We start from the raw sequence: 12149 nt of genomic DNA on the forward strand, positions 1-12149 counted from the left end.
AAAACTGGAAGATCTGAAGGCTTTCCCACAGTCTTTACTGATAGGGTTTCTCTCTGGTGTGAGTTCTTTGATGGCTACGAAGATGATTGGCATAACTAAACATTTTCCTATAATCCTTACACTCATAGGGTTTCTCTCCAGTATGAGTTCTGTCATGTTTTCATAGGGAACTACTATATCCGAAGGCTTTACCACATTTTTTACATTCATAGGGTTTTTCTCCAGTGTGAGTTCTCTCATGATATCAAAGGTAAGAGGAATAACTGAAACCATGACCACACTTCTTACATCTAAAGGGTTTCTCTCCAGTATGAGATTTTCGTGTTTCTGAAGGGAGTTGGAATAAGTGAAGGCTTTTTCACATTTTGTACATGCATAGCATTTTTTAACAATGTGAGTTTTTTATGTGCTTGAAAGGAACTGAGGGAATAAAATGTGATTTCACATTCATTACATTCATGTTTTCCTCTAGTATGAGTTCTTCCATGTTTAGAGCAGTTACTGGAATAACTAAAGGCTTCACCAAATTGTCTACATTCATAGTGTTTCTCTCCAGTATGAGTGGTTTCATGGTTACAAAGATAACTGAAATATCTGAAGGCCTTACCACATACCTTCCATTTACAGAGTTTTGTCCCAGTGTGAGTTATTTTATGTTTCTCAAAAGAATCCAAGTGGCTGAAGGCTCTACCACATTGTTTACACTTACAGGCTTTCTGTTTGGTGTGATTTCTCTGACGTATATAAGGTACATTGGGAAAATCAAAGGCTTTTTCACATACAGTACTTTTATAAGGTCCATTTCTAGTGTGCAATGCCATGTGTCCTTGAAGATGTGTGAACAAAATGATGGCTTTCTGACATTGTTAAGGTTTATCTGGCTTCTGTCTATTTTCTTCACATTCATATGGCTTGTTTCCAGGGTGAGATATGAGGTGCCTAGGAAGGAATAGATAAAAATAAAGATTTTCCAACACAGACTACATTCACATGGATTTACTTCAGTAGGAATTATCTTGCTCAGATTAAAATTTAGGATTGGACTGAGGGTTTCTCCACGCTGACAAGTTTCTTCACCTTTACAGTCTCTGCCATATGATATCTGTAAGCATATTGTTAATGGTTGGTGTTTTAATAGTTTTCAGTTGATTAATAAGTTTTGAATTTACATTGCTACCAGTACCCAGAAAAGTACACACTTTCTGCAATATCTGAATTGCTTGAAATTGAGTAGATTGATTAGACTAAAATACAGGTCCCTATAGCTATTATCATAATTATAATATTTACATACGAAGTTTGTTACTACAGTTTCAAAGTGAACTATTTTGTAAACACTAAACAACTATGTTACATTGAAGTATTTATTATTGGTATTCTTTTTCTAAAAAAAGATAAATTTAAAGTTGTGCTTGTTTGTTTTATTTGCTTGTTTGTTTGGAGCCAGGTCCAGCAATGAGTCACCATTTTACCTGTGACCAGATCCACATATGACAGTCAAAATTCCAACTGTGGACTGTGTCTATGAGTGAGATTCAGGGCCTTAAGAGTGGGCTTTGTCCATATGTGAGACTGACAATTTTAACTGTTGGCTGTATGGTGGGCCCTGTAATAACAATCTCTGTACCATCAAAGGGCATTATAGAATATGCATAAGCTTCCTCATACTTTGTGACCTTTCCAAAACTAGGAGACTGAAGATCCGATACATTGCAATAAGTCCAGCTTGAAGAGTCAAAATCTCTTCTGTTTGTTGTGTCCATGTATGATAGTCATCATCATGCCTATGAACTGGACCTAGATATATGAGACAATACCACCTGTGGGCAGGGACCAGGAAGGAGAACCACATCACCTGAATGATGACCCAGAGATATGTCAGTATCCATTTTGAGAGAAGAGCCCTGGCAGGAAAGTCACATGACCTGGCTGCTGAGTCCACTGATATATCACAATGCCTTCTGTGGGCAGGGCCATAGCAGGAGAGCCAAATTATCTGGGTGCTGGGTCCAGCAATGTGTTACAAATCACCCTGTGGACAGAGCCCAGGAAAAAAAATAAGAGTCATATGACCTAGGTGATGGGCACAGAGATATATCACAATGTCCTCTGAGGAGGGACTCAGGGAGGAGAGTTACATCACCTAGAAAACACGGCCAAGGTATATTTCATAATCCCAACTACAGACATTGCTTAGACAGGAGAGCCACATCACCTGGGTGCTTGGCCCATTGATTTGTCCCAATCACTTCTGTAGGGAGAGTCCAGGCAAAAAAGTACAGTCAAGTCTACCAGGTGCTGGGCCCGGTAATACATCCCAATTCCTCAGTAAGCAGGTCCAAGGCAAAAGAAGAGAGTCACATCACCTAGGTGATGGGACCAGGAATATGTCTAAATTCCAAATGGGGATGGGGCCCAGGCAGGAGAGGAGAGTCACATCAACCTAGATGATGGACCCAGTAATATGTCACAATGCCCCTTGGGGGCTGAGCCCAGGCCAGTGAGGAGAGTCACATCACCTGGTGATTAATGCATAAATATTTCAATATCTCCTCTGAGAGGATAGCCCAGGTGGGACAGTCACATCACCTATGTGCTTTGGCTAGGAATAGGTCACAATCCCCTGTTTAGATGGGAACCAGGCAGAAGAGTAAAATCAACTAAGTGCTGGGCAAAGATATGTGTAAAACTCACACCTGCAGAAATGTCCAGGGATGAGATTCACAATATTGCATGTGGCCTGGCTCCAAACATTAAAGTCAACACCTTTTGTGAGTTCTATCCAAGTACATTAGTCACAATGTCAACAGTGGACTGGATCTGTGCATAAAAGCCCCAACCTCCTCTGAAAAAAAAGTGTCCTAATAAAGCAGACACAGCCTCATGGGGTGTTTAATCTTGATCCAAAAGTCACTATCGTACCTGTGGTCCGAATGCATGTATAACAGTCACAGTTCCAACTTTCACTTCCCTTCAGATGTGAGATTCAGAACCTCAACAATGGGCTGTGCCCATGTAGGTGGATGATAATCCTTACTGTTAGCTGAGTATGGAGACAAAAGTCACAATTTCCTCTTCATGATGGACCCTGTTATGAAACTCTTTACCACTTGAGTGCAATGTGCAATATGCTTGAGTATTGTAGGGCTCTGTGACTTTTGTACAAGTAAGAAACCCAGGACATTACCTGTTGCCTTAAGCCTAGTTACTAAAGCAAACATCTATGTTATTGGCTGGGTCCAGCTATTAAAGTCATTACTGGGCCTGTGAGCTGGGACCAGAAATGGGTCACCATCCCACCTGTGGCCAGATTTACATATAGCAGTCACAATTCCAACTGTGGACTTTATCTGCATGTGAGATTCAGGAGCTCACCAGTGGGGCTCTGTCCATGTATGAGGGTGGCAATTCTAATTTTCAGCAGGATGTGCCTATGAAAGTCACAATATCAACTGTGCTCTGGTTTGTATTATGAAACTCTCTGTACCACCCAAAACCTTCATAATATATGTGTGTGTGTCAGAATCTTCTGTAACTTTTTACAAGTAGGAGACTCAGGACCTTACCCTTTGACCAAAATCTGTCTGTAAGAGTCAAGATATCTTTTATTGGGTCATTCCACACCTGAGAGACATCATGATATATGCTTGGTCTAGGTAGAGGTCACAATCTTACCTGTGGGTGAACAGAAAGCAAGAGAGTCAGATCTCCTGGGTGATAGGCCAGAGATATGTCACAATCCCTTCTGTTGACAGGTCCCAAACAAGGAGTTACATCACCTGGGTGCTTGGCTCAGTGATATGTCACAATGCCCAGTGTAGGCAGGGACAGGCAGGAGAGTCACATTACCTGGGTGCTTGGCCCAGTGGTATGTCACAATCCCTTATGTAGGGAGGGCACAGGTAGCAAAAGACTGTCACATCATCTAGTTGCTGGACTAGAGCTATTGGTCTCTCGGTCGTTCAGGGAGAGGGTTAGGATCTCCTTAGACATCCATGTAACAGAGCCCCAACTCATCCGTGCTCAGAAGCAAAGGCCAGTGGAGACCAAATAAGGCTTGAAAGGTAAGTCCCTTAAAAAGGCAGAATGTCTTGGCCTTTGGCCTCTCCCCTTCAAGCACAACCAGATCATCACCTCTCTTCTGACTTCTCACTATGCCCAGCACTGGAAAAATGCTCTTGACTTCACCCCTTTGCTTCTCCACACCCCCTGCACTCTTACTGGGCAGACCAGAGACTAGGAGACCCAAACTCCAGCACGCACAGCCAGAGGAGAAGTGAATCCAAAGTGGCTGGTGGCGGTGAGGCTTGAGCTCTCACAGGTGTCCCAGCCTAAAGCTGCAGGCCCAGGTTGTGGTTCAGGTGGCACTCGATGCAGGTGCTGAGATGCTGCTGAAAGGCCTGGAATAGCCTCTGCGGCTGCCACTTCTTCCTTTTCTTAAGTGCTGAAAACGTGAACACTTTCCCAAGATTTTCAGATATGCCCAGGTGCCCCCAGCTGAAGGTGGGGATAATGACATTCTTCAGCATGGTTTATTGCCCAGGGAGCAACCAGCCCCAACCTCGCCACCCCAGCTGAAGGTGGGGATAATGACATTCTTCAGCATGGTTTATTGCCCAGGGAGCAACCAGCCCCAACCTCGCCACCCCAGCTGCCCCAGGCTGGAGGCGATTCTGTCAAGCCTCTGCCCTGCAACTCCACTCCTTTTCTTCTTCCTCAACCACCAGCATACTTTTGATCATCGTCCCTGTCGTCACAATGGGGCGCCTGACACCAAGGAGACCCTGGAAACCCACTGAACTCAGGCCCTGCAGGGGTCAGGTGAACATGTAGGAAGTCCAGGAGAAAAGTCATCTGCCGTCTCCAGAATGAACAGCATTCCAGGAAGAACTCCCCCACACTCCAGGAAGAAGTCATGAGCCCAGTGGGGAGGCAGGTCCAGCCTGCAACAACTTAGACATATGCGGTGCTCCATAGCTCATGCTTGTGTCCTGCAGGCAGGAGCACACATCAGGGTCCGCAGTCTTTGTTCTGGGTGTGGAATTAGTGCTTCAGCTGGTTCCCCAGGTGTCCCCAGAGGGGGAAAGGGTGGAAAAGGTAAGAATCTTCAGCACAGCAGATCGCCTTGCCCTGGCAGCGACCAGCCCTGCCCCTGAGGGGCACCAGCAGCCCCCAACTAGAGGCAGTCATGTCAGGCCTCCTCCCTACAGCAACTCTCCTGCCTTTTTTTTTCTTTTTTTCACCGCCCTAACCCCCTACTTTTGGTCATCCTCCTTGTCACAATGGGGCACCTGCACTGTAGAGACTCTAGAAACACGCAGATCTGGGGTCCTGCAGCGTCCAGGCTAACATGCCAGGAATCAGAGAGAAAAGTCCTCTGAAGCCTCCAGAAGGAAGGGAACAGGACCCGTCACTGCAGGAAGAAGTGGGGCACCCAGTGGCAGATGGAGGCCCCACGCACTGCAGAGGTAAATGTGTAAGGCGCTCCCTGGCCCGCGCCTGTTTCCTGGATGCTGGAGTCCGTGACCAGGCCTGGGGTGGCCCTTCCACACACAGAATAAGCTGTTGGGCTGGCTGCCTCACCCAGCACCCGGGCCGCGCCAGAGAGTATCTCAGATGCTGCTTTCCTGCCACCTCAGCGACCCCAGTAACACTTCTCCCACAGGGACTCCGCCGTGCCCAGCTCTCCAGCCTGGGGATTCTCATCACCCAGTGATTCCAAAAGAAACGATCTACAATGTTATGACCAAATGCCAGAAACAAACAAACAAAATATCTGAGGGCAGTCCATTGGTCACTTCCATTTTTCAAAGGTGACAATTGTCCCTCCTTGAAATCTTGAGAGTGCATGAACAGGCTATTCTAATAGATGTGCAATTTGCACTAAAACTGATTGAAGAGCAAATTCTGATTCCAAGGTACTTTGTATTCTCAAATTGCCTCTGCTGCCCCTGGCCCCCTCAAAATGGAAGAGTGAGGACTACTTGACATCTTAGCACTGTGCGGACATAGAGCCTTACATGGAGGTGTGTCAAAAACGGCATTCCATAAAGGGCTGTCACTTCCAATTTTCAAGCAAGGTAGGAAACTAACCATGATGTAGGAAACACTGTCAGCCAAAATGCACCATTAGTAATATAAAAATGAATGGTATAAACTATTCTATATATGTGAGGCCATCATGGAAATTTGGACATCAAAAAACATTGCCAAATTCAGGAAGAGGAACCTGTAAGGTCATGGCTGTTAGGAAGCTTAACTTCTGTGTTCTAGAACCTATCAAAGTTATTTCTCCGTGTCAATCTGTCCAAACAAACCTTGAGTTGTTTATTTCTATAGAATTCCTGTAGAATCCTAATGGGCATGACCTTCTGGCCCCATCTTCGCAGCTCTGGTGCCAGTGGAATTGCACTTGTTCGTGCTTCCCCCTATTTTATTAAGTGTGGAAATATTTAGAGACACGGTGGGTTGGAAAGGTACTGAATTAATGGCTGGGGCCTCCTGGGTGGGTGAGTCAGGTTTCCCACAGCCTAAGCCTTTTTACAGTAAATAAGTTATAGGTAAAGTTAGAAAAAAATAAAAAGAAAATGGAAATCATTCTCTTTCTTTGCTCACCATAAAGGCAAACACACAGGGTCTAGACATGTCTGTGTCTAGGCTTGTCCTGGGAAAGTGGAAAGCACTGAGCAAGATACCTGGGAATGGAGGGTAGGTGAGATGGGGCTCCCAGGGAAATGCTGCCAGGGTCAGGGCCTGGCCCACTCAGGCTGGCAGGGGACTTCTGAAGGCAAGGAAAGATGGCCCAGGACACCAAAGGCTCAAGAGGCCCATCTGAGCCAAAGATTTGTCCAGGTCGTGCTGAATCTCAGCAGTCCTGCCAACAGGGGTCCTGATCAGCCCTGATGATTTTAGTCACTGGAGCCAGGTGGCTGGGGGGTGGGGCAGAATAGCTGCCTAGTGTGAATGTGGGAGTCCACTGCCCAGCACACAGGAGAGAGCCTCCGTGGGTGCTGGCCCTAGTGCTGTCTGTCTGTGGGTCTGTCAAGGGGGGCATGTGGACCTTTGCAGCCATGCCCATCTACCAGAGTCTTATCTTCTCAGTCTGCAGAAGTGTAGGACAGTGGAGACTGGATAGGACTTGAATGGGAGGCCCCCTAAAAAGACAGTGTGTCATGAGCTTTGGCCTGTCCTTTCTTCTCTGAACAGAACAAAATGACCACCTCTGTCCCCTCTTCTCACAGCACCCAGCACATGAGCAGGGCTCTCATCAATCACCTCCCCCACTCACACTGCTCTGCCTCTCCAACCTTACACACTTCTCAGGCAGGGCCTGAGATCAGGCCGCAAAAATCTTGGCACAGCCAGACTAGGAGTGAGCCAGAAGAGGGGAAGGATGGTGGAGGCACAGGCTGCACTCTACTGGTGCCCCAGACCCAGACTGCATGCCCAGGCTGCAGTCCAAAGGATACTCGGTGCGGGTCCCTGTCCCCCATAGCATCTTAGATCAGCTGCTGAGGCTGGAGCTTCTTCCATTCCTTGAGCATCAGGGGTGTGTATCATTTCCAAGGGTTTTCAGACAATCCCTGGTGACCCCTGGCAGGGGGCGGTTATCATGGCGATCGGTCCATGGCCTTGCCTCCAAGCAGCACCCAGCAATCCCCATGCCCACCAATGCACTAAATGTTTGTGGTGGGCCTCTTTCTGGAAGCTCACCTTCTCCTCCTGTTTGCCCTCCATCTTCCCCAAACCAGTACTTCTGGCCATCCTCCTTGTCACCACAATGGGAAAACTGGGTCCTGGAGACTCAGAAACCACTGTGCAGGCCTCGAGTCTTCCCCTGTCCTGGCTAACAGGGCATGGAATCAGAGAGAAAAGTCATCTTCCACCTCCTGAAGGCTGCCAGCGTCAGGGCTTGGCACACTGAGGCTGACAGGGGCCTTCTGAAGGCCAGAGGAGATGGCCCGGGACATAAGGCTGAAGCAACCTGTCTGAGCCAAAGATCTGTTTGTGTCCTCCTGAATCTTAGTGGCCTTCTAAAGGCGGGTGTGATCAGCCATGGGTATCAGAGACACTGGAGTCCAGTAGCTGCTAGGTGGGACACGGGCACAATTTCACTTGCAGACCAGCTGCACGGAGTGGATAAAGAGAGAGTTCTGTGTGGGAATCTCCTTTGGTGGATCATCAGGGAGGTGAAGTCTTTGTCATAGCCTCATATCCAGCTTGTGTGATACCAATTCCAGTGAAGCTGGAACAAGCTGGCACTGCTCAAACAGGCCTACCAAGACATCATGTTTTTTTTTTTTTTTTCCACCAAACCTGGACCTGAATGGGGATGTGGACACACATAGAGTCCAGAGGATGGGACCCTGGTCAGTGGTGGTGCTGGTGTGCGGCATGAAGCAGCTGGGGCAGGCCCTCCAGGTGGGAGGAGGAGCCAGCCTCTCCTGTGGGGTCCTGGGCAAGTCATTTCCCTCCTTGACGCTCTGTTTCCTCATCTGGAAAATCCAGGAAGCCTGTTGTGCAGTCCTCAGAGGGTCATGATAAGGTGCAAAGGAGGAAGAAATTTTGAGAGTTCTTGTGCCTTCCTCTTCCTGAGAGGGATGATGGTGAGAACAGTGTGGATAACCACATGCAACTGAGTCCCCAAAAGGCCCTGTGAGGAAGGTGTTGTTCCCATCATGCTTCCCAGATGAGGAAACAGTCTCAGGGAGGCCTGGCTGCATGCCCAAGGGTTACACACACACTGAATGTTGGAGCTGGGAGTAAATCTAGAGTCAGGGCTCACTGGAGGTGGTGGGAGCATTGCACCAGCTGCCTCATGCAGTTATCCAAGATCTGAGGTCAGGGGTCTGGGGTATAACTCGGTGAGAGAACCACAGTCTCACTGACCCTGTTTCTGACTCTGCTAGGTAGGGAACTTTTTAGAGTCCAGATGCTGCTGTTGCTGCTCCAGGGAGTTAAGGACAGGGCTTTTCCCTCCCAGCTGGAGTTCTCCACATCAAGAGACCAGAGTGTCTTCCTCCTCTAGCCCTGCCCTCCTGTGGCCACAGTACTTGGAATGCCTTCATTAACGTGACCAGAGAAAGAGACTTAGAGAGCTGAGTTCACAGTGGATTGGGAAAAGAGTGAGGCTGGGGACAACCTGACTTTGTGACTTATTAAAATCCTACCTTAGAGTTAACTAGAAAGAGCTTGGTGTCTTTGGAGGCCAGCTGTGGAAAGAGGAGGTAAAGATGTCTTGTAAGGAGGCTGAGGGTCCTTGGCTGCTCCAAGTGGGAGACTTGGGTAGGGGCGTCAAGGAGACATGGGTTGGTGAGAGTTCAAAGGACAGGCCTTATGCAGGAAGCTGAGAATTTGTGCTCATCACTGCTACCACCTTGGAGGAACAGGGAGCTGTACCCTCTCTCGGCACACTTCTCACTGACCTGATGATGCTGGACATTGCCATAGAGGATTATAATGATGTGTGTGACACTGGGGCAGGCAGGCAGTTTGGGAACCAAGATCCTGAAGCTTGTGAGAACAGAGTCCTGGAATAAGCCCTGAGATTGCAGCACTCAGCAAACCTGCTTTCCTGAGAGCCTACCAGATGCCCATGTGAAAGGGGGGTGTCAGTTCCATCTTATCTATGAGTGACAGAGGCTCCAGCAAAGACACCAGTCACTGTTCCTTGAGTAGTGAAGCTGCAGAGCTAAGTCTCAGCCTCTGCCTTAGGTGGTACCCATTGGAGAAAACAGAAATTGGGCCCCTCCTAAGACAGGAAGTTCCTAAATTGTTGAGTGCCTTTTTTGTTTCCTAGGCCTCAGTTTCCCTGTCTATCATCACAGAGAATCAGGGCAAAAGGTGTCCCTTCTGTGGAGCCCAGAACCTGATGTAGGTCCAAGTCCTGTTTTATGCACATGCCTTGACCCTGGCAGCCCTGGCGGTGGTGCAGCATGGGAAGTACAGGGGATGAGGGCTAGTCATGGGCCAGGGGGTCTTTCTGAGGGATCTTGGCTGTCTACCTTCCAGGAAAATATAATCAACACTAATAAAGGAGGAAGGAGAGCAGCTGGGGTCTCACTTTGAGGGAGGCTGGGGACGTGACAGTCAGACACCACCCTGAAGAGGCCACTCGCTGGCTTCACCCTCTGCATCTTAAAGTTATTGGGAAGGTTTGATACACAGAGGAGATCCATTCTAATGGAGGGTTTGATTAGGGGACTAGAATCAACAATAAATTCCTAGATGAGGAACTGTTTATATCCAACTCTGAGAACAGGTTAGGGTTACATGGGATTGGAAGAGAGGGTGGGGTCCCTTAAAAGAAAAGCCCCAGAAACTCACTGCTGCTCTATCCCTCCCCTATAAGTTCTCTTTGTTATCTTCCACCCAGGACCTGTCAGAATCCCACCCTTCCTTCTGTCTCCCATCGAAGTCCTCCAGGAAATGCAGCTGTTTCAGTGACAGGGGGTGATTGCCATCTTCCAACTGAGGAGGAATTTGGGGTTTTGGTCCAGTCCATGAAGTGTGACACAGTCAGAATAAAAGGTGAGGGCCTAACAGATTAGCAGACGGTAGGAGAAGACTATCTTGCAGCCAGCTTCAGAGAGCCTGTGGCCATGGCTCCCAGGTCAACATTAGGCCCTGTTGCCTGGGAACCCCTGGGCAGGCAGTGGGAAGGTTGAGGTGTGGCTCCTGGTAGCCTCAGAACTGCCACTATTTCCTGAAGCTCCTACTTGTTCTGTCAGCTAAGCCCCCATCCCAGTAGGCCAGCAACACCCTCAAGACCAAGAACAGGCCATGGTGAATCTCAGGGCCACTAAGTACCTGGGCTGGCAGGGGCAGAGTGCCTCAGGGCTCAGTGTTGTTTGGGCTGAGCATGGGCTTTGGGAGTCAGACAGCTGCACTGGGCTCCCAGCTGCACCATGGCCAGCCCTGTGTATGGGGCACTGCTCTGTAACTTGAGACACCATAGTCATAAATATAACACACCCTTCTAACTGCTTTTTCTTTTTTGTCTATTTTTCTCTATAATCCCCATGTACTACTGATCTGTTTATTTAAATTAATAAACATGTTATACAGTGTATATTGTTCTTCCTCATGATTTCTTTACTATATTGTGTGATTCCACTCATATGAGGTTCTTATGGATGTCCCATTCACAGAAACACAAAGTAGAAGAGTAGTTAGTTCCCAGGGGCCAAAAGAAGGTAAATGGGGGCTGTTTCTATCTTTTATTTTTATTTTTGCAAAATGAACAAAATTCCCTATGAATGTGGATGATGGTTGCAGAACAATCTGAGCATGATTAATTCCTCTGACTTGCACGTTAGAAATTGTTAAAATAGTTAATTTTATGTATATTTTACCACAATGTAAAAAAGGAATTTTTAAATGAACAGACTGTAGATACATGCAACAGCATAAATGAATATCACAAATATAATCTTGCATTTAAAAATTGATGTAAAAGTATCCAAACTATATAATTTCATTTATACTAAATCCAAAAATCAAAACTGACATTCTTGCTTTCACTAATGGGAATTAGCTAGTTAAACTAACACTCTCACAGAGAAAAATGATGAATCCTAGATAAAATAGTATATATCATTATAAACACTTCTATATATAATACATATATGAGATATGTGTGTATAAGAAGTGAATGAGGATGTCCCCTGTGCCCTCCTTAGGAGAGACAAGAATTGAAGTTATAATCCAGGCCAATTAGCACTCTCTTTAAAAATCAACACTCTTCAAAGGGACACAACAGAATCCAGAGTCTCTATAACTCTTGTATACAGTCTCTTGTACACAATTTTCAAATTCGTGAGATGGGTGAAGACACATGAAAATGCAATACATACACAAGATAAAAGGCAGGCAGTAGACATCTCCAAGATATCCAAGATGTAATCAGCAGACAAGAATTTGAAGGCAGCTATTACAAGTATGCTAATGGAGGCAAAGGAAAAAATATACTTATAAAGGAACAGATGTGGAACCTCAGCAGAGAAATAAAAAATAGCCAAATAGAAAAATAAGACACAAAAAGAATAATTTTGAGCTTATCTATAGATCAGAAACAAAACACACAACAATAGAAATTATTCAATCTGAAGATACAAGTAAAAAAAAAAGTTTAAGGAAAATGAACCCAG

The 12149-nt window shown here is 46.6% G+C and overlaps 1 long non-coding RNA gene and 1 pseudogene across 1 annotated transcript; one reads left to right on the top strand and one right to left on the bottom strand.

The window, feature by feature from the left end:
- Positions 248–1075, bottom strand: ZNF971P (zinc finger protein 971, pseudogene; annotated as a pseudogene).
- On the top strand, positions 3688–10873 carry LOC105371203 (uncharacterized). Its single transcript, XR_942163.2, has 3 exons — positions 3688–4064; positions 4728–6080; positions 10376–10873. It is a non-coding gene; the product is annotated as an uncharacterized LOC105371203 (long non-coding RNA).
- Positions 10874–12149: the final 1276 nt, after the last annotated feature.

Source organism: Homo sapiens, chromosome 16 (assembly GCF_000001405.40).
Source record: "Homo sapiens chromosome 16, GRCh38.p14 Primary Assembly".
Lineage (NCBI taxonomy): Eukaryota > Metazoa > Chordata > Mammalia > Primates > Hominidae > Homo > Homo sapiens.